This window comes from Homo sapiens, chromosome 14, assembly GCF_000001405.40.
Source record: "Homo sapiens chromosome 14, GRCh38.p14 Primary Assembly".
In the NCBI taxonomy this organism is placed as follows: domain Eukaryota; kingdom Metazoa; phylum Chordata; class Mammalia; order Primates; family Hominidae; genus Homo; species Homo sapiens.
This window is the reverse complement of record NC_000014.9, coordinates 54043157-54066502: the sequence shown is the minus strand read 5'-3', so window position 1 is coordinate 54066502 and position 23346 is coordinate 54043157. Positions and strand designations below refer to the sequence as shown.

The 23346-nt window shown below is 39.0% G+C and overlaps 1 long non-coding RNA gene across 2 annotated transcripts in view; it reads left to right on the top strand.

Moving 5' to 3' along the window:
* Positions 1-22623, top strand: part of LOC105370507 (uncharacterized) — a 144575-nt gene extending 121952 nt beyond the window's left edge. For both annotated transcript variants that reach the window (XR_943883.3, XR_943882.3), the window contains 2 exons: positions 21372-21408; positions 22469-22623. This is a non-coding gene — a long non-coding RNA (uncharacterized LOC105370507). The remainder of the gene's footprint in view (positions 1-21371; positions 21409-22468) is intronic.
* Positions 22624-23346: the final 723 nt, after the last annotated feature.

The following is a 23346-nucleotide window of genomic DNA, read 5'->3' as shown; positions in this document are numbered from 1 at the left end:
AAGGCACTAGATTTGAAGGTCCAATGAAGTACCCACTTGGCTGAGGTGCTGAGAGGGGGCTGGGTGACTGTTAGAGATAAGAAGGGAACTTTGTTATGGAAGATAGCTGATGGAACAGTTAAGAGAAAGGAAGGCCTGGACATGCAATGAGAAAAAGAGGACCAGCCTGAAATTTCCTTGTCCTCTGCCACTAAATGAGAAAGGAAAGACTAGTGGATGAAGATTGAGGACTAATGTCTAGACTTGTGTCTGCTGCTAACTAAGCTTGTGGTCTTGGAAAAGTCATTTACTTTTATAGGCCCTTGATTTTCAAATGTCGTAAAGTGAATTCAGATGAGAAAATCACTAAGGTCATTTTCATTTTAAGTTGTAAAATTCTCTGATTTTATTTTGAAGAGTATATTCAAATTATATCTAATGTTTTGCCTTTAAGATTTCAGGCACTTTTCATATTTGTACTGTAGACCTATGTTTACTTCTGTGTCTTAAATCTTAGCTTACTTTTAAATGGCTGCTCACAGCTGGGCATGGTGGCTCACACCTGTAACCCTGACACTTCAGGAGGCTTGAGGCCAGAAGTTCCAGACTAGTTTAGGCAATACAATGAGGCCCCATCTCTATTAAAAAAAAAAAAAAAATTCGCCAGGTGTGGTGGTGTGCCTGAAGTCGCAGATACTTGGGAAGCTGAGGTGGGAGGATCACTTGAGCCCAGGAGTTCAAGCCTGCAGTGAGCCATGAAGGCAGCCCTGCACTCCAGCCTGGGTGACAGAGCTCTCAAACATACAAACAAACAATTTTTTTAAAAAGTAAATGACTGTTCACTTCTGCCCTCTCCCACCCTTGACTCCAAACACCTATGGACATCATCCCCTTCACCATAGTGCCCAAAACCCACAGTAGGAAGATGGCCACTGACCCATGCAGGCCCTTCATGCCACCCAGGGGTTCTATCACATTGTCTTATTTCAGGCTTTTCCCACTTTCGTAGGCAACTCTTTTCATCTCTCTTCAAGCCTTGCAACCTTTTCCCTCATCCTCACTTTCAGCTGATGAATCTGCTTCCTATTTTACTTTGAAAATAGAAGGAGTCAGATGAAGATTTATACACGATCCTGTTGACTCATCTATTCACCTATATGCATCTTTACCTTTATACTCTGCCTTCCCTCCTGTTACAGTGGATAAATTATCTATATGTCTACCTAAGGCTAACTCCTATACTTGTGCACTAGACTCTACTCCTCTTGCCTATTAAAGAATATTGTTCCAGTACTTGTCTCCTCTCCCCATTGCACTATCAAAATTTACCCTCTCTAATGGATCATCCTCATAGCATACAAACATGCTGAAATTCTGCACATCTTAAATGAAAATTCTCTCTTTTCCCCACATTTCTCTCCAGCTATAGCTCTATTTCTCTATTGCTGTAACAGCAAACTCCTCAAAAGAGTTGTCTGTGCTACCTATTTCCAATTTACTTCCTCTTGTTCCTTTTGAGTCCACTCCAATGACTTCCTTGTAGCCAAATCCACTAGTAATTGTTAGTCCTGATCTTATTTGACCTGTCTCAACATTTGATCCCATTAACTACTTTCTTTCCTGAAATGTTGCTGTGGTTCTTTTTTCCTTAACTTGCGTTCCAGGAACCTTTCGGTTCTCATCCTACTTTATGTGCTGTTCCTTCTCATTTTCTTTTGCTGAGCCTCCTTTCTCCTTCACCTCTAAACATCAGGCTGCTCAACAATATAGTCCTTAGACCTCTTCTCTTCTCCTTTGTATGGACCCACTTCTTAGGTGACCTCATCCAGTCCATGATTTTAATTTCATCTATATTCTGATGACTCCCAAATATATGTCTCCAGTCCAGAAATTTTCCCTTAACTTCAGGCTCATTTAGCTAATTATCTATTCTACATGCATATCTGATAGGTATCTCGAACTTAATATGTTATAACTACACTGTTGATTCCTCCCCCATTTCTAAATCTATGCATCACAGTAACTGGCAAGTCCATTTCTTCCGTTGCTTAGGCCAAAACTCTTGGAGACATTTATGAACACTTTTGCTTACATCCCATTCTGTTGGTGTCTCTACCTTCAGAATATATCCAACATTTAACTACTTCTTACACCCTGCACTACTATTTTCATGATCTCCTTGGTGTCCTTGTTTCTGTCCTTAATACCGGTTATATTCTCAACACAGTGGACAGAACAATCTTTAAAGCTTTAAGTCAGGTTATGTGACTCCTTTGCTTACAGCATTCCATGGTTTTTCTGTTTGTTTTTTAAATAACAGAATAAAGCCCAGAGTTCTTATCATGGCATACAAATGCTCCAAATATTCTCTGTCAACCTTTCCCCCTCTAACACCTCTTAACTCATCTAGCACACTGGCCCTCATTACCTCCTCTTCAGCTATACTGGCCTCCTCAGTGTTCTTATTTCAGTGCCTTTGCACATATTGTTCCCTTGGCTTGGCATAGTCTTCCCACAGTAACCTACAAGGTTCACAGTTTCACCATATGTGAAATAGCCACTCACTGCATTCCTCTCGTTTTGACCCCATTTAATTTTTCTCCATAACATTTGTCACCATCTGACATATATCTACATAAAATTTGTTTGTTGGCTATCTTCTCCCAGTACAGTATAAACTTTACAAGGGCAAAATCTTACTCTATTCTGTTCATTGCTGATTTCACAGTGCCTACACCTGGGCTCAGCATATAGCGAGTACACAATACTTATTTATTGTATAAATGTGTGAATGAACGAGAAAGTTCAGGCTAGTCCCAGGGGTTTTGGAAAAACTGGGTTGGGAGAAGTAGGATGAGAGGTGTAGGAGATTGGTCTAGCTGGGAGCCATGTTACCCATATGTTGTCTGTGAACATGCTGAGTTGAGATGTAACAGCACAGCTTCACTAAAAAAACAGACAATGCTGGAGCTCAGGAAGGTAAATTCCCATGTTGTTGGTGTGATGTGGTAAGGCAAGGATGTACAGAGCTTGAATTGGGTAGAATAAATGACTTTTCTCCTCCAGTTAGTTGATTTACTTTCCTATTGGCCATGCCCTTAGGTGTAATCATAATTCAACAATATACATGTGCCAAAAGATTGCCTTGCAAAGGTTCTTCTCCATTAGCTTATGTGTGTATTTTTGTGTGCACATGTTTCCAACAGTGTGCCAGATGACAGAAATTCAGAAACCACCATCCTAGTTGAAATCTGTGGTTCATTCAACACAATAGTCCCTTGCCAATAGCAGTCCAAATAAATTGGGTCAAAATAGATATGGGCACTTGATAGCATATTGTCATTTGTAAGGCTAGAGCTCAAACTCACACCAGCTTAAGCAAACAAACACAATTTATTGGCTCAAAAATCTTAGAAGTCTAATAGGTATTTTTAGGTATGGCTAGATTGAGGGACTCAATAAAATAATAACTTTGTATATATCTATTTGATTCTTCTTTCCTGAGTTGGTTTCATTCTCAAACAGGCTTTCTACAAATGATGGCAAAGATAGTTTCAGGCAGTTCCAAGCTTATGTGGTCCCTAGCCCTACTACAATTCCATGATGTTGGCAAGGGGCAGGGCATAAAAAGAAGCATAGCAGGGCAAATCAAAAAGTAACATTACCACTGTTCTCCTAATGGCTGTTTGTGAAGATGACTTATTCAGTAAGTTTAAATGTGTTTTTATTTCCCTGAAGTCAATGACATAGTTTTTTCTCTTTTAAAATTCAGCTGTCTTTTATTACCATGTTTCTTAGAACCCCATAATGTTTTGTTTCCTCTGCACCTCTTTCTGGCATAATGTTATTGTTCCTAAGAGCATTGATGAGGCTTTGGAAATTTTAGACCAAACACAATTGAAATGATGGCTAGCCCCTTTGGTGCTGCTGTCATGACTTGATGAAAATTATACAGACTGGGGCAATGTCTCTGAGATCTAATGCAAGCAGTGTGGTCCTTTCCACTGAAACAGCCCTCACACCATCCATAAGTCCCAAAGGCAAAAATTAGTTGAATTCTGCTCCAGAATGAGATATAGCTTGAGAACAAACTCATAATTTAGGAAATCAAAAGTTTCTGCTGGCATTTCAGTAATGAGGTTTGGGACTGGTGAATGTGAGTCCTTCAACATGGGCCTGGGATGTCACTTCCTCAGTCTGCTTGATTCAGAGAGTGGGATGGGAATCTCTACCTTGGGCTTAAAGCAAATGGATCTTTGCCATCAGAAAGTCACTGTTCTGCTCATCCCTAGTGAATCTTGATGATGACTCTCAGATGGGAGGTCAAGGAAATTGAATTAGACATAAGACAGGTCAGGGTTTATAGTTGCAATAGTTGCAAGCAGCAAAACTAATTCCACAGATTTTAAGTAGAAAAAGAGTGTACAGTTGGCCCTTCAACAATGCAGGGTTGGGGTGCCAACCCCCATGCAGTTGAAAATCCACACATAACTTTGGAATCCTCAAAAATGTAAGTACTAAAAGCCTACTGTTGACCAAAAACTTTACCAATTACATAAACTGTCAATTAACACATATTTTGTATATTATATCCTGTATTCTTACAAAAAAGGAAGGTAGAGAAAAGAAAATGTTATTAAGAAAATTATAAGGAGAAAATATATTTACTATTCATTAAGTTGAAGTAGGTGATCATAAGGGTCTTTATCCTCATGATCTTCATGTTGCATAGGCTGAGGAGAAGGAGGAAGAAGAGTTGGTCTTGCTGTCTCAGAGGTGGCAGAGGCAGAAGAGGTAGAGGAGGTGAAAGGGGAGACAGGAGAGGCAGGCATACTGGGGGTAAATTTTATTGAAAAAAATTCACATATAACTGGACCTGTGCAGTTCAAACCTGTGTTGCTTAAGGGTCACCTTATAAGAAAATTACTGGATGACCCACAAGGTCACTGGGATGGATGGAGATCCGGATCCAGAAACTTGGCAGGGATATCGGTGTTATGGGTTGAATTGTGTTCCACCCTAAGCCCCAAATATGGCGGACTCCTTATCCCTGATATCTCAAGGTAACTTTACTTGGACATAGAGTCTTTGCAGATATAATCAAGTTAAAATGTGGTCATACTACATTAGTATGATTCCTAATCCAGTGACTGTTATCTTTGTAAGAGAAAGGAATGGAGATTTACACACAGAGACAAAGAAGGGAAGAAGGCCTGTCAAGATGAAGGCAGAAATTGGAATTTTGTTGTCACAAACCAGGGAATGCCAAAGATTGCCAGCAAGCCCTAGAAGCTAGAAGAGACAAAAATGGATCTTTCCTAGAGTCTTTGGAGCAAGCAGGGTCCTGCCAATACCTTGATTTCAGATTTCTAGTCTCTAGAACTGTGAGAAAACAAGTTTCTGTAGTTTTAAAGCTACCCAGTTAGTGGTATAGGCATACCTCATTTTATTGGACTTTGCAGATATTGCATTTTTCACAAATTGAAGGTTTGTGACAACCCTGCGCTGAGCAAGTCTGTCGGCACCATTTTTCCAACAGCATGTGCTCACTTCATGTCTCTGTGTCACATTTTGTTAATTCTTGCAATATTTCAAACTGTTGTTAATTCTTGTAATATTTCAAACTTTTTCTTGTTGTTATATCTGTTATAGTGATCTGTAATCAGTGATCTTTGATGTTACTGTTGTAATTGTTCTGGGGTGCCATGAGCCACACCCATGTAATAAGGCAAACATAATTGATAAATGTTGTGTGTTTTCTGACTGTTCCACTGACCAGCCATTTCCTTATAATATTGAAAGTAGGCAAATTAATAACCCCATAGTAGCCTCCAAGTGTTCCAAGAGCCACACATTTCTCACTTGAAATCAAAAGCTATAAATGATTCAACTTAGTGAGGAAGGCATGTTGAAAGCTGAGACAGGCTGAAAGCTTCTTGCACCAAACATCCAAGTTGTGAATGCAAAGGAAAGGTGCTTGAAGAAGGTTAAAAATGCTACTCTGGTGCACACATGAATAAAAAAGCTAAACAGCCTTATTGGTGATGAGGAGAAAAATTTAGTGGTCTAGATAATAGATCAAATCAGCCACAACATTCCCTTAAGTCAGAGCCTAATCCAGAGCAAAGCCTTAATGCTTTTCAATTCTTTGAAGGCTATGCGAGGTAAGGAAGCTGCAGAAGAAGAGTTGGAAACTAGCAGAGGTTGGTTCGTGAGGTTTAATGAAAGATGCCATCTCCGTAACATAAAAGTGCAAGGTGAAACAGCAAGCACTGGTGGAAATGTTACAAGTTATCCAGAAGATCTAGCTAAGATTATTGATGCTGGTGGCTACACTAAACAGATTTTCAATGTACAAAAAACAGCCTTCTATTGGAAGATGCCATCTAGGACTTTCACAGAAAGGAGGAGTCAATATCTGGCTTCAAAGCTTCAAAGGCTAGGCTGACTCCCTTGTTAGGGGCTAATGCAGCTGGTACTTGAAGTTGAAGCCAATGCTCATTGATGAATCTGAAAATCCTAAGGCCCTTAAGAATTACGCTAAATCTACTCTGCCTGTTTTCTATAAATGAAACAATGAACCTTGGATGGCAAAACACCTATGGTTTCCTCAGCATGGTTTCCTGGGTATTTTAAGCCCACCGTTGAGATCTACTGCTCAGAGAGAAAAGATTCCTTTCAAAATAAGACTGCTCAGTGACAACACACCTAGTCACCTAAGAGCTCTGATGGAGATGTGCAAGAAGATGAATGTTGTTTTCATGCCTGCTAATACAACATCCTTTCTGTGGCCCATGGATCAAGGAGTAATTTTGACTTTAAAGTCTTATTATTTAAGAAATGCATTTGTAAGGCTATAGCCTCTGATGGATCTGGGCAAAGTAAATGTGAAACCTGGAAAGGATTTACCATCCTAGATGCTATTTAAGAACATTTGTGATTCATAGGAGGAGGCCAAAATATCAACATTAATAGGTGTTTTGAAGAAATTGATTTCAACCCTCATGTACAACTTTGAGGGTTCAAGATTTCCTCCACTGAAGCCAGATGTGATATAAATAGCAAGATAACTATAATTAGAAGTTGAGGCTAAAGATGTGACTGAATTTCTACAGTCTCATTATAAAATTTGAATGGATGAGGAGTTGCTTCTTATGCATGGGCAAAGAAAGTGGTTTCTTGAAATGGAATCTACTCCTGAAGATTCTGTGAACATTGTTGAAATGACAACAAAAGACTTAGAATACTACATCAACTTATTTGAAAAGCAGCAGCAGGGTTTGAGAGGTTTGACTCCAGTTTTAAAAGAGTTCTTGTGTGGACAAAATGCAATCAAACAGCATCTCATGCTACAGAGAAATCTTTCATGAAAGGAAGAGTTAATTGATATGCATACTCAATTTTTGCCCTATTTTCAGAAAGTTCCACAGCCACCCCAGCTTCACCAACTACCACCCTGAGCAGTCAGCGGCCATTAACATTGAGGCAGGACCCTCCACCAGCAAAAAGTTTATGACTCTAAAGGCTCAGATGATTTTTAGCATTGTTTAGCAATAAAGTATTTTTAATTATAGACTACACTACAGTGTAAATGTAACTTTTCTATATACTGGGAAAACAAAAAAAAATGTGCAATTTGCTATATCATGATTTTTGCTTTACTGCAGTGGTCTAAAACTGAACCCACAGTATCTCCAAGGTATGCCCATACTTTGTTATTGCAGTCCTAGGAAACTAATACAAAGAGAAGCTAGGCAGCAGGCCTCAGCTAACATCATGCCTAGCAACAGTTGGCAGATGTAATGCGGCAGCTGCTCCTGGTTCCTGATGCTGGTGTGACTGGCCTTGCGGCCCTCTGCTGTGTCCTCAGAATGAATCTTCCACTCACCTTACTTCTTGGTATTCAAGTTCTGGGCAGGAAAATCTGACTGGTTAAAGTCTAGGTCACATGTCTGGCCTAGAGGGTTTGACAGGAGGAGAGAGAAAGCAAAAATCTGGTCTTTAGGAAGTTACACAGTGGGTTCTTCCCCAAAATAGGAGTGAGCTTCAGATGCTAGGCAACCACAAAAAGTCCCTATGACATATATATGCAAGAAAGCAGCAAATTTTAATTGTTACTGGTTCCAAATAATAGTAATAATACTGAGGTTTATGAATGATTTGCTTTTTGACATAAACTGTAGGCATTGCAAGTTTATCTTTTAATATCCTTTTAGCTCCCTGCTAGAAGGCCAGGTATTATATATATTTCCATTGTATATACATGAGAATGTTACCATTTGTGAGACATCTCTGCAAAAAACAAGGTGGGTATATGTTGATGTAGCAGCTGTGCCACCATCAATCTGAGCAGACTGTAGAGAGGGCCAGAGACACTGCACAGTGAAGTGCAGATAGAGTACAGGTTCTGGAGCAGGCCACTGGAGCTGGGAACTGGCACTGTCACTTACTAGCTGTATGACTTGGCCATCTTTTAGCCCCAGTTTCCCCGTTTGCCAAATGGGGATAATAATACCTACATCATAGGGTTGTTATGAGGATTAAATGAGTTAAGCCACATAAAGCACTTAGAACATTACCTGGTATATCATAAGCATTCAATATTAGCTATTATCCCCGTACCAAATTCTGAGAATTGGAGAGGTTATCTTTGTTCCTTTTGGAGTAGCAGTTCTGAGCACAAAATTCATTACAAACCAAAAACAGTATTCGATGAGAAAAGATCTTGGTATTTTTCTTTTACCATCTGTACAAAAAGGAATGGAACTCTGGGTGTTTTACTCTTCCTATCTAGAACGAAGAAACACAGATGGGCCCAGATCTCAAGAATGGGGCTACAATGAATGCCTTGCACACAGTAGATGTTCAGTAAATATTTGCTGAGTGTACTAGGCAAGTTGAGCAAGGTACCTCCACTGTCCTCTCCCAAGGAGCCTTAGATTGCCTGCCATATGCCCATTTCTTTCTGAGGGTTTCTTATGAATAAATTATACTGTAGCCTAGTATAAGTCAAATCGCAACCAAAGGAAGCCAATCCATACATTCACCCTGCTCTACCACAGAGATTGCTTTGTGCAAACACAGAGTCCTACTGGGATAGCCTATAGTGGATGGACTGATTGAACCAATCAAATCCACTCCTGAGGAATGCAAACCTGGACTTATAAGGAGTCAGCAGTTGGTAGTGGGGACAGAGGTAAAAAGTGCATAGAGCGAAGCCACCAGTTAGCTGAATCCAATAAACAGACATTTGAGGTAGAGAGTGAATTAGTAAGTTGGTTCTTTGTTGACAGCCAGGGCAGAAATAAAGACAGACATGTTTAATGGCAAGCCTTATATCAGTGCTGTACACAAGTATCTCACTTAATCCTCACGAAAGCCCAGTGAAATAGCTGACATTGTTATCCCCATTTTACACGTCAGGACACTGAGGGTTAGAGAATCGAATAACTTGTTAAAGATCCTGAATTTAGAAGTGGCTGATTTGGGGCTCCCACCTAGACCAACCTAGAAGCAGAGGAAGAGCAGTGGAATCAGCACACACACACACACACACACGCACGCACGCACACAGAGCTGCAACTGAGGTGCAGCTACAGTCTCCAGGGCACCACAGCTGTGGCTCAAGCCATCTTTCAGACCCTTTTTGCTGGGAGGCTCAGTTGTGACTTCACCATCACTGGCTGTGTATTACTGTAATAAATGCTCCATTAAGAAAGGAAACTTGAATGGTTCTTGTTCCCTAAAGCCTCACTATTCATAGTGGAGTCCAGGAACAGTCAATTCAGCATTACCTTGATACTCATTTGAAATGCAGCATCTTGGGGCTCCTTCCCAGACCTCTTGAATCATAATCAGATCTTTTAACAGGATCTCCATGTAATTAATGTGCACATTAAAATTTGGGATGCACTTCCTTAAAACACTGATTATCAAACTTAGCTGCACATTGGAAGTTTAAAAAATACAGTTACCTGGATCCCACTGATTGAGTTGGTATGGGTTGTGGCCTTAACTTTTAAAAGCTCCCCCAGGTAATTCTAATGAACAGCAAAAGTTGAGAACTACTGCTAAAACCTCTAATCAGTTTGTGAACCCGTGATAAACAAGGGGCTAAGGCATGATCTGAATGAAGACTGAAATCATAAATGTCAATAGATAAGGTGAAATGCAGATTCATTCACCAAGTCTCAGATGATTAGAAGCACTTGAAGCTAGATAAAGATTAAGAATAGGCTAAAATGAGTGCGATGAAATTAAATTACTATTGGTGACTACTTCTAGACTTTTTCCTTCTCCTGCCTGCTACGGAGGAACTTGCTTGCTCATAGTTTTTCTTTTCCCTTCCCCTGGATAGAGGTTCTATCTCTTGTGTGCTTAAATGGTGCGGGCTCATGAGGAAAGGGAAGAAAAGGGGAAGATACAAAGTGGTGATCAGAGTGGAGTATTAAGAAGTTTGGGGGTGGGTTTGGAAGAGAATGATGTTGGTGAGTGTGGGGCTTTGAGAAAATTGGTCTATTCCGGGATTCAACTTCTTCCTGGTTTAGTCTTGGGAGGGTGTATGTGTCCAGGAATTTATCCATTTTTTCTAGATTTTCTAGTTTATTTGCGGAGAGGTGTTTATAGTATTCTCTGATGGTAGTTTGTATTTTGGTGGGATCAGTGGTGATAACCCCTTTATCATTTTTTATTGCATCTATTTGATTCTTCTCTCTTTTCTTATTAGTCTTGCTAGCAGTCTATCAATTTTGTTGTTCTTTTCAAAAAACCAGCTCCTGGATTCATTGATTTTTTTGAAGGGTTTTTTGTGTCTCTATCTCCTTCAGTTCTGCTCTGATCTTAGTTATTTATTGCCTTCTGCTAGCTTTTGAATGTGTTTGCTCTTGCTTCTCTAGTTCTTCTAATTGTGAAGAGAGTTTTTAAAATACATGACAAGGATGGGAATATTATAGATTAGAGTCTCATTAGCATCTCTCAAGAGATGCAAGAAAACATTGAATTTCTTTTTAAAAATTATAAAATATACACAATATAAAATTTCTCATTTTAGCCTTTTTTTTTTTTTTTTTTTGAGACAGAGTCTCGCTCTGTCGCCCAGGCCGGACTGCGGACTGCAGTGGCGCAATCTCGGCTCACTGCAAGCTCCACTTCCCGGGTTCACGCCATTCTCCTACCTCAGCCTCCCGAGTAGCTGGGACTACAGGCGCCCGCCACCGCGCCCGGCTAATTTTTTGTATTTTTAGTAGAGACGGGGTTTCACCTTGTTAGCCAGGATGGTCTCGATCTCCTGACCTCATGATCCACCCGCCTCGGCCTCCCAAAGTGCTGGGATTACAGGCGTGAGCCACCGCGCCCGGCCCAGCCTTTTTAAAGTATACATTTCAATGGCATTAAGTACATTCACATTGTTGTGCAACCATCACAACTATTCGTCTCTAGAACATTTTCATCTTCCCAAACTGCAACTCTACCTATTAAACATTAACTTCCTATTCCCCCTCCTCCTAGCCCCCGTAACCATTATTTTACTTTCTGCCTGTATGAATTTGATTATTCTAGGTACCTCATATGAGTGGACACAGACAATATTTTTGTCCTTTTGTGTTTGGCCTATTTCACTTCACACATGAATTTCTTTGAGACTTATTTTCCCCTCAGACTGTCCTTTTTAAAATATGACCTATATGGGGACTGAACAATATGTATCTTGGCTTTATTAGGGTTGCATTCGTGTAGTGCTGCTTTTCTTGATGGGAATGGAACTTAGGAGATGATTATCCTAGGAGATAGGCCAGCCTGAACATAAAAGTAGGCTTAGAAAAGGTTGAGATAAGGCCATTATCCTTAGCAAACTAATGCAGGAACAGAAAATCAAATACTGCATGTTTTCACTTATAAGTGGGAGCTAAGTGGTGAGAACTCATGGACACAAAGAGGAGAACAACAGACACAGGGGCCTATCGAAGCATGAAGGGTGGGAGGAGGGAGAGGATCAGGAAAAATAACTAATGGGAACTAGGCTCAATACCTGGGTGATGAAATAATCTTTACAACAAACCCTCATGACACAAATTTACCTATATAACAAATGTGCACATGTACCCCTGAACTTAAAATCAAAGTTAAAAAAGAAAGAAAAGTTAAGATAACTCACTGATGTCGAAGCACACAGACTATTCAGAGGAAGGTGGATATCTGAGGCTACAGCCTATGAGGCTGGTTATAATTACTCTATGTCATTTCCTAATAAAGGCAATATGTAGTTTTGTTTGAGAGTGGGCTATGTGCTCTTTTCCTTACTCTGAATTTCAATTTATTCTAAAACTAAAATATTATTTTAACAACATCGCTCCATCTTTTTGACTATGGAGAGGTTGGTTCGTTTTTGGTAATTAACAGAGGACTTAATGTGGCTGAGACAAGATTTTTTTTAAAAAAGGAAATCTGCTTTAAATCTCATGGGTAAGCCTTAAATCAGTCATTTCTGAATTGACTACTTATGCTTTATTCCACAAGTACTGAAAAACAGGAAGTTAGACATTGTCATTTTCTTTCATAGTGTTTTGGGACATTTATGATCAACCTGTGAAATCTTTCAGGAAACACTCCAAATCCATTGTCGTGTACTCCTTGTCTGACTTTGGATAGGTTATTTAATATGTTGACTTTTAATATTTTTTTCATTTTGGAGGAATGAATGGTAATGCCTACTGAAGAAGATTGTGAATAAAATTCAAGGGAGGTAGCATCTACATAGAAGGCCCTCAATACAGTTGTCATTGTCTGTGTTGATTGTGTACAATGATGGTATATCCTTTGCAGTTATCAACATCTTTGGTAAAATTTTAAATTCAAAGGAAACAAAGTTCATAGGTATTGTTATATAAGATTTCTATTCAGATTAGTAGCACATTACTGTCTTAGGTTGGGTTCACTAGATGCAGAGCCTGAGGACTTGGCTGCTCTTCAAGAAAAACCTATAAGGTAGTAAGAGAAATAGGATCGGGAAGAGGAAGGAGCCAAGAAAGAATGTTGTTTCAGATAAAGTCTAGACTTATAGCTTGATGCTGAGGGCAAGGGTGGGGTCCCTAGGCAGGGGGAGTTGTGGAATATAAATCCTACCATAGGGTCGTCTGAGGCAGCAGTTCAGGCTTTCCTTCTATATGAAACCATTTTAGGACACTAAAAAATCTGTGGAAAGTTTGTGGAAGCATCAAAAATAGCAATTTGCTGTGATAAGTGTGCCCTATAACTTTCAGATGGCTATGCAATAGGTTCCCTTTAGCCACCTCTTAGTGATGATTCAACCAAAATAGCCCCACAATAAATAACAAAACATTTCCTTGTTCATGAATTTAATTACTATTTCTTAACATCTGTTAGGTGCTCAGAACTGTCCTAGGCACTAAAATCATGGCAAAACAATAAAAAGTACCAGTGGATATTTTTTAAGTACTGAAAAAATAACCAGTTGAAAACAAAATCGAAACCACATTTTCTAGAGGCTTCTCTCTCAAAAGAAACTAAGCTGCTAAATAAAATCTGGTGTTTAAACTATATTTTTTAAAAGAGATGGGGTGAGGGCTTGTTTAGATTTGTTCTTTACATAACTAGTTGAAACTTGAGAAGTAAAATCTGCTTCGAGCTATTGTTGATTGGACATAAAAGCAGGGAAAATTTGCAGTAGCTGAGATGGGGCTTTGGAAATGGGTAAATTGTAAATATATCCTTTGAAATTAATCTAAAAATAAGTGGCATCTGAACATAAATATGTGTAACTCTAACATCTATTGAACAACAGATACTTTTAGACACAATAATAAGGGATTCTTGCAGGGGAATGCAAATAACTAACATTTCTTATTTCAGCTCCTCAAGTTCTTGTCCTTGAGTGTATTTAAAGAGATCACCCAGAGACACATGGAAGCAAAAAAAAAGAAGAAAAAACCCATAAACTTCCACTAACCATCTTATTATTATACTAAGCCCATATTTGGAGATAATAATTGGCATATTCCATAGGGGCAGCCTGGGAAATGTGTGTCTGTCATGGTTCTTTGTTCATAAGCAGCAGAAATGAACTTTGGATAACTTAAGCAGAGGAAGAGTTTATTGGAAGGATATATGATAGTTCTTAGAATAAAAGAGAAAGCTTAGTCATCTGACTTAGAAAGGACAGAAACTATGACAGAGAAGTCCTAGATCTAGGAAACAAAAATGAGTGGTGATCTGTCATTAGAACATCTCTAGTAGAATGAATCTGCTGTTGGCATTTTTTTAGTCTCCACATTATACTTAAGATCCAAATGTTTGGCAGAAAGTTGTGTCATTGGCCTGACAAGAAGAAAGCTCGGCACATTCATTCATTCATTCATTCAACTAACATATCTATTGATCTCTACTACACATGCCAGGTACCTGATATACACAAATTGAGTGACAGCCCCAGCATAATGCATTCAGTAGAGAAAGGATTATTTCTCCACCATAAAATCAAAGTGCTGATAGAAAAATGGGAATGGTTGCTGGGTGTTCAGGATGGCCAGATACCCTTGCAAGACCGTTTCCCTTAGATCCACAGACATTTGTATGCTTGTTCTTTTTTTAAGAAACATTAACTTCTCTGCTTGTACTTTTTCTTGCCTTTGGGGACAAATTTCCAAATATCCCAAATCACTGGGCTGGAGAGCCTAGCTGTGAATGTTCACCTGGCGCCACCAGTCCCTCATCCACATTGGCTTCCTCCTGCATCCCAGACAGAAGGGTAATCCCAAGGGCCTGATGAGTGTTAACTCACTTTCCTTTGTCTCTGCCAAGCTGAATTATGGATTCTGCTTTTCCCAAACCTTTATTTTCTTCATAATCATTCCCAGTTTCTGTCCCGTATTCCTCACATGCATATTTATCTCAAGGTTCCATGTGAGTGTACAATTCTAATAGTGTCCTAATATTATAGGTTTAAATTCCTATTTTCATCTATCTGATGAAAAGGCCAGCTGACAAGAATGTTGTGTTGCCATGTGTCCCTTAAAGGATTGTAGTCTTAGACTTAATACTAGTTCAAACAGAAAGGTATCTTAATTTGGAAGTAAATATAGGAAAATGACTATATTACTTAAGTAAACACAACTCAGTAGGAGCTAAGGTAGAAAAAAAATTTCTTTTTGTTGTTGCCTCATAAATCATACTAATAGTCTTTGATATCAGAGCTCTACCTAAATATACCTTATTTGTTCATTCATTCATTTTTGTTTATTTACCAAGCAATTATTAGCCACCTGCATACATTTGCCATGTACTATTCTTTCCTTGAGTGGAGTTTGGCTTTAAAATGAACAGAAAAAAGAGGGTAAGATGAAGGTTTCAGTGAGATTAGCATAAGCTGGTCAGAGGGGACCAGAAAGGAATTTGTATTGCAGTTTCTATGAGAGCTTTACTCTTTGGCCTCTATCATTGACCTAGTCTAAACTTCCAGATCCTGAAACAAAACTTAAAACAGCACTTAATTCCAGTTGCAGAAGCACCTTGCGCCAGCTTTCCCACCTCCGGGTTCCCTGGGCAAAGAAGGAGCTTTGTGGGCAGAAGTTCAAGCACTCCTGAAGAGTGTGGCCACTCGGAGCTTGGCAGGAATGAGGGTGGGGTGGTTGTGTGCTAGAAGCAGCAGAATTAATCCTGCAATTGCTTTTTTAATCTAATCTACTGTTTGTATTTCAATTCTGTACATTGATCTAATAATATTCTTTAGAAGAATTTTTTCTCTTCCTCAACCAGACCAAGTCTAGGATCTACTATTGCATTTGGTTATCACGTCTCTTTAGCCCCTTTTAGTCTGGAACATTGTCCCAGCCTTTGTCTTTTATCACATTGACATTTTTAATGAATACAGTCCTATTAGATTGAAGTTATGCATTCTAGGCCAGAGAACTGCATAGGTGATGTGTCCTTCTCAGGGTATCATGTTTGTTCTTCAGTGGTAATGTTAATTTCAATGACTTAGTCAAGATATTGTCCAAATTTTCAATTTTATAAAACTGGGGCTTTTATCACCGCCCCCCCCACTCCGCCCCTGACTCCCCACTCATGGAACTAATAAGCAGTCTGTGAGGTGGCACTTTAAAATGATGCAAATATCCTGGTTCTCATCAAAATTTCCTGGTAGGTGTAGCATTCATTCATGAGTCTTGTCTGACCCAATCTTTACTATCATGGTTGTGAAGTAAAGGTCTTTCAGTGCCGGCACTCTTTCACATTCACCAGACAGCTGTTACATTTCACTGCAACCCATGGTTTCCCTCACTTATTTACTATTTACTATTATTGGTATGGACTTGTGAATTCCTATTTTTTCAATGCTTTATAATTCCTTGCTATACTTATTTCTTTTAGTGCTCAAATTTATGTATTCTCATTTATGTAAAATACCAGGCAAATGCAGCTTTATGCAGCATACTCACATCCAATCAGATTGCAGCCCCTAAGTCTCTTCTAGTAGAAATTCTGGAGCCATCACTGTGTGTATGTGGCACGTATAAGACATACTTAGATATGCATAGATGCTCAGAAAACTGATAACAGGGGCTATCTTGAGAGAAGGAGATTAGAAGACAGAGATTTGAGGTTGGAGAAAAATTTAATATTCACTTTTGTAATATTTGAATTTTTTAAAGTATATGTAATAAATCATTAAAAATAAAAGGCTTTTTTTTTTTTCCCAAGCCAGTATCAGCGAAGCCAGACTAACTTGGAACACATTTTATTTTCTCAATCATTAAACTTCTAGGTTCCATTTTAAAACTTGGTAGGCAGACAATCTCCACTATCTAAATAGTGTTATTTGGTGGTCAACTTTAATTTGGGCCTGTGTTTCAAGGCAGGCCTCTTACACTAGGGCTGCAAATTCTGACTACTGACTCTGAGTTTTCAAATTCAGAAAGTGATTTCCAATGCCAGTGTTAACATGGTGTAATTGCTGTGCAATGCAGTACTGCTTCAGCCCTAAGCTCCATTCTATTAAGTTTTGCAAGCTGGGAGATGGGAGACTGTATGTGAGGTTATTAGATTGAGTGCTCATTTCAGCTGTTTTCTCATTTAGCTCCACTTGTCTAGGTTCGCAACGATGGCTGATTGGGCCCATGATGGTGCTTTGGAATGTAAATTGATTGCTGAGATGCCTGCCATTAAGTAGCTGTCCTACCTATATTTTGGATTATTTTGAAAATTCTGTATAAATCCACACACAATAGATCTTAGAATTTCTCTGCATTTAAAACATATGCTGTCACTGTGGTAAGAAATTTCTGTGAACCTTGCAAAGCTGTAGATGCCCTGGCTTAGCACAGAGCAGTTTATAACATACAACCCAGATGCAAGCTCCATTGGCCTACTCACAAGCAGCCTCGTGTAATTATTCCTCCATTAAGCCTATATGCAGACCACACTGAACTCAACCATAGTCTTTCTTTGAAAAAAAAAAAAAAAAAAAGGTGGCTTTATTATAAACACGAGGAAGCTGGATATTTTTGAGAGGTGTTTGCATTTTGAAGCCTTGTGGTTTTCTTCATCTCTTCAATAATCATTAACATGCTCAATAGTTAACCTTCCGGAAATGTGAAACTTTATATCTGAACTTTGCAGCATCTGTCTTGCAATGCAGACTGAGTTTGCTGAGGCTGTTTTTATAATCACTGGTGGTAAAATCAGGAAGACGCAAAATGAGCGTGTACTCAAGTGCAGTTCATCCAACATTCTAGACCTTAAATTAGAGTGATGAGCATAAACACTGCAAACAGAGTTTTTTTTTTTTTTTTTTAACTAAATTGCAATTATATTTTAAATTACCTACAATTACCAGAAACCATCTCAAAGCTAGAAATTAACTTCTTAGGCACTGGTCCCAGCAGATCAGCTGTTAAATGGACCATCCTGGGTAGCTGACTTCCCACTCTCGTTTCCTTCTGCACACAGCCTTGCACAAGCCAGGCAAGGTGGAACAGCAGGGCGGAGCCCGCGGTTCAGGGTCACGTGATAGGCGTTGGCCCTCAGAATGGTGCAACCATATTTTTACAACTTCCCAAATTACAGTTTCATTCAGGTTCATGACATTTTCATGAAATACTGTGCTAGCTTTCTTTTCGAGAGTAAGTGACGATTTTATTTTAGATTTTAATTGAACTATTTTTATGCAGCGGGTTTTGTCATCTGGTATTTAGGGCATGGAATTGGGTCCAGGAACCACTAGGACTATTCCTAGCTAGTCACTCACTGTGTGACCTTGGTAAGGGCTCTTCTGGGCTTTGGAGTCCCTGTCAGAATGATAAAGGCTGAGCCGTTGGGAAAGAACTGGACGACCTCCCTTGGAGTACCAGCTAGGGGTTGGAGGTTGGCTTAGGCTCAGGGCTAGGTTCAGCCTCATCCCACAGTCAGACCCCTCTCTGGTCTTTGTTGTCACATTCCCTTTCTGTGAAAGGATGGGGAACTTTGGACAGCCTTTCTTTACACTGCCTGGCTGGTACATAACTCAGCACATGGTTGACTTGAAGTCAACACTGTAGAGTACTTTGAAATGTAGAAATTTATACTTAGTGCGTTTGGGAGTGGATTAACTAGTTTAAATCTCACGGCCTCTTGTTCCTCGAGGAACTCATAACAAGCCTCTCTTCCTTGATCCAGTCTCTTATCTTGAATCCACAGCCCTAACTGTCTCCAAAGTGGTTTTGCTGAAATGCAAAGCAATGCCAATTTTCTTCTTAAAATCCTTCAACATTTCCCCATTGCTAAGGGCCATGCTGACTTGATTCCTGCTAATGCCTCTGCTTCACACTCCACACTTCTGCACACCAAATTATTCCTGTTTCTTTCCAATACACTACTCTTGTTCCTGTAAGACATCTTGTTTCATGCTGCCTTTCTTTCTGGCCTGTTCCCCTTGTTACTTCTGCACTTGGCTAAATCACAAACAATATTGATGCCTCTGTTTAAACCACCCTCTCGAAAAAGCCTCTATAGAAGCCCCTATATTGTGGAAGATACTCCATTTTAACTTACCATTTAATAAAGTTTTTTGAGTGCCTTTACTATGCACTCAATGTTATTAATCAATAGGTGTCATTTTGCTCGCATTAATCTTTCCGCTCATCTCTAGCTATGGAGAAAAGGAGGAGGGGGTCCAAAGAAGAAGAATTTGATTTCCGGGTGCCTATGAGAGGGGTCGCCACATGGGTGATGCTCTTTAGGGCTTGTTTGGAAGACCCATAAATTTTTAAGATCTGGAGAAAGGTGGAGCAGAATGAACATGCCTCTCAGCCATGAACTCATAAAGTTGAAAGATACAATTCAAGCCCAAAGTAAAAGACAGGTTTGTGTATTCTTTTGGACTCCATGTATGTATTGGACTAACAGAAAGTTTGGCTAATAATAGACTATATCACCCCTCCTTGTACTATTAAGGATGTGATACTAAAGTTATATTAAAACAGCTATTATAACTAGGAGATAAACTATGAAGAAGATTCATTTGATTATGCTGTGCTCTATAAATCATTTCAGTGATTTGATTAAATAATGTTTATTTAACCAAACTGCTGGGAGATTTCTGAGGGACAGATAGATAGGTGTAGAATTAAAAGGTGACAAAAGGTGGGCTAAAGTGTCTGCAATCACATTGTATCAACAGGAATTCCTTTGGCATCAATAGAAAGCCTAACTAAGAGACTTAAACTATTTTACTTACAAGCATTCCTCTGGAGGTAAGCAACTGTTTGTAGTTAAGAGCTCAAAAATACCAAGGTCAGTGTTTCTCCAATTCTTGTTGGCCTTTCTCTTGAGGTCATGAGGTGGCTGTCACAGCTCTAGACACTAGTCTATTCCCAAGGCAGAAAAAAGGGGACACAGCAGGGGTGATGCTTGTGGCATATGTCCTTTATGTCAGGAAAGAAACACTTTGCCAGAAGCCTCTGGAGACGTCCGCTTTTACCTCAATAGGAATCAGACTTTCTCACATGGACAACCCTCACTGCAAGAGAGCAGAAAAGCAAATATTTGGCTTTTCTAGCCTCTCTAATGGAGGATGCCAGAGGAGGTGGATTTGCAAATGGGAGTTGGACTAGCCAACCAATGGCATCTGCTACCATGTTGTCCAGTGCTCTCAGAAGTCATCACCCTTCACTGTTATTTATCATTGTCTTGCTCTTTGGGACTCTTTTAAAGTAAAACCTGGCAAAAATATGAAGTTGTGCATCGTTTATAAATTTCATCAGTTACCACAACAATGTGACTGCTGTCTTCAACAGGCTGTTCTGTACTTGGAGAAGAAGCATTTGCCTATGGTGTCAGGGAAAATTTTCTAATCTTGTTGTTTGGATAGATTTGAAAAAAAAGTGCAAATAAAAACGTCTGTCCTTGGTTTAACTTTTCACTCTTGTTTATTCATGGGTGCTTCTAAGAGCTTTTGCAAGTAAACCTTCTAAATCTTAAACTAAGTGTGGTAGGCAAACCGTCTCAAAGTTTACGGTTTACACTACTGATCGGGAAGAATAACAATCCATTAATTCTGATGAGGTAACTTATTAAAGGGCTCATGTGGAGTAAACAAGGGGGATTCTAGCAAGTTTGAAATCTTGAAGCCACACCGTCTTCTCTTTGTGGTGGTATATCCACAGACACCTCTCTGCTTCAGAAACACGTGTGGGTAATATGCTATTGTATCGATGGCGAAGGCAGTACAAAGTAGTGCTTAAGACATGAGTTATGGAGCCAGACTGTCTAGTCTCCAGTCCTACTTATGAACTGTGTGACCTAGGACAAGTTACTTAAACTCTCTGTGCCTTCAAATGTTACTATAATAATACTCAGTTATATTGAGAAAGTTTCCCAATAGAATATATGTAAAAATTGATAAATATTACCTCTTGTGATTATATAATGGTGTTGTATAATGGTAATACCCACCAGGGCAAGTGGGCACTTTGTTTCTCTCTCTTTTCCTTCCTGCTGGTATGTACCCCTTCTGGATGCTTCATTGTTAAAGAAGAAGCACTCATATTTGTTAACATTTAAATGCTCAACAGCACAGTACTTAATTACTGTGTGTATACTCTCATGCAGTGTGTATTATTGCCATGATTTCACAGAAAGAAAAGGAAATTGAGAAGACAGGTGAAGGAACTTGTTCAAGCCACACAACTTGCTGGAGTTAGAATGAGAGCTCAGGTGTCTTGTATTTTAAGCCTGAACTTATTCCCATTATGACATTATTGAGTTGCATTGTAAAGTTTAAATTAGCTTTTTATATGCATATGTATCTTTCTGCATATAATTTTCTCATGCTCTGGGAAAATCTGCACAACTCACAATCATCCTCTTTTTTTTTTTTTTTTTTTTGATAACTGTTTCAGGGTCCTAATAAGGAAGATTCCCAAAGGCTCTGCAAAGGTAAAGGTAATGCTTATAAAGTGCAGTTAGCACCCAGGAAATTTTACCTGCTGTATCGTTATTAAATGAACCTATCTTCTCTGACAAAGTTTGAATGGAACTAGAGAACACACTTGACCCAGGCTGAGCCAGTTGAATTCTTTCTTCAAGAATTTGGAATTTAAATCCAAATTTACCTCCTTTTAGTGGCTTCATAATATTCTAAAACTTTTTGTATTTACTAAGACACTTCTTGGAGTAAGAAGCCATACTTAAGCTCTAGGGATCATATTCATTTGAATCTCTTTATATGGCATCCCATGGCTGGTATTGAAAGCTAGGGGCCTGTGAAACTTTTGATGAAGACCTTGCTTGGTTTACCTACATCAGAATGTGTTACAGATAATTCATTAGAGACAGCATGCCATTGGAACCAAGTTGGTGGAAATTCAGAATCAGTGAAGTACCCATCATACCACAAGGGTTGATGGAATGCTGACCTGCAGAGAGGGAAATGGAGGAGATTAAAAAGAAAAAGTAAAGCAGAGGCAAGAGGATGAGAAGTGGAGTGAGTCCTGCTAGGAAACTTGTGGCCTTTCAGTTCTTGGTTCTGGTTACTTTTGAAATTCCTGTCCTCAGGTGTCTGTGGGAAACTCTGTATTGTTATAATTATTTACCCATATTGTATTTTGTTTTTTTAGCAAACGAAACTTAAGTTGGAGTTGGTTTTTGTCACCAACAAGTAAAATGGTCTCAGGGACAGATGTTGTGGTTACTGACTTAAAGAAGTGTTTTAGATTATCTGGGGATTTTATTTATCATATTCTCTCCTTCCATAGATTAGAAATTGGCCACACCCAGTGCCATAAATTTAATTTTGGTACCCTAACACAAGCTTGAGAAAGTTTCTGCATTCCCTTGTTAATTTCTAAATCTTCATCATGGTTAAGAATGCCCAACATTGTGTCTCATCGGGAAGTGTCTAGATCCTGGGTGTGTGTATGTGCATGTATGTGTGTTGTGTGTATGTGTGTAAAATACCTGGGGTTGTACTTTATGCTTAGGGAATTCTTTTTTGCAGAAAGCTCTAAACACTTTGTCCCTCCGAATGTGCTCAGCCTTGCCTGTGCCTTCACTGAGCAGTCAGAATCACACTGCAGCTTCCAGGACAAAGAGAAGTCCAGATAGAGAGAGGATCCATCCTGTTGTCTCTGAATCGCATCTCTGTTTGGCTTCCATGGGCAGATATTCTGAAGTAGGTAAGCCAAGCAAGGTCTTAGAATCTTCAACAAGTTTCACAAGCCCTTAGGTTTTAATACCAGCCATGGGATGCCATATAAAGAGATCCAGATGGATATGATCCCTAGAGCTTAAGTGTGACTTTTACTCCAAGTAGTGTCTTGGTAAATACAAAAAGTTTTAGAATATTATGAAGCAACTAAAAGGAGGTAAATCTTATGCAAATATGGGTAGATCCTATACAAATATGGGAAAGAGACCAAGACAATTAGTGAATAAAGCAAACTGCAGATTATATATAATAAAAGACATATATACTTATGGGTTTGTACATTTTAAAAATGTAGATATATGCTTTTATTTATAGAAAGCTTTTGAAATATTATATGAACTTTCATTAAGGTTACCTCAGGGGAGTGAGTCTTTGAAAGAAATTTTAAAAATCTTTTATGCTGTTTTTGTTACCTGCAACTAAAATCGTTTCAGTGAAGAAAATTTGGTTGAGATGGATATTGTAGTTAATGGCTGAAATAAGTGTTTTAGATTATCGTTGTAAAATTAAAAAAAAATTCGGCTCCTCATTAAAAATGTTTAAACAATATAGAAATTTATATAGAACAAAGGAATATTTCCCCTCTCCTTATCCCTCACCCAATTCTCTACTAGAAAAGGGACTTTAACTTTTCATGCTGTACTCCTCTGCCTGTTTTGTTTATTTGT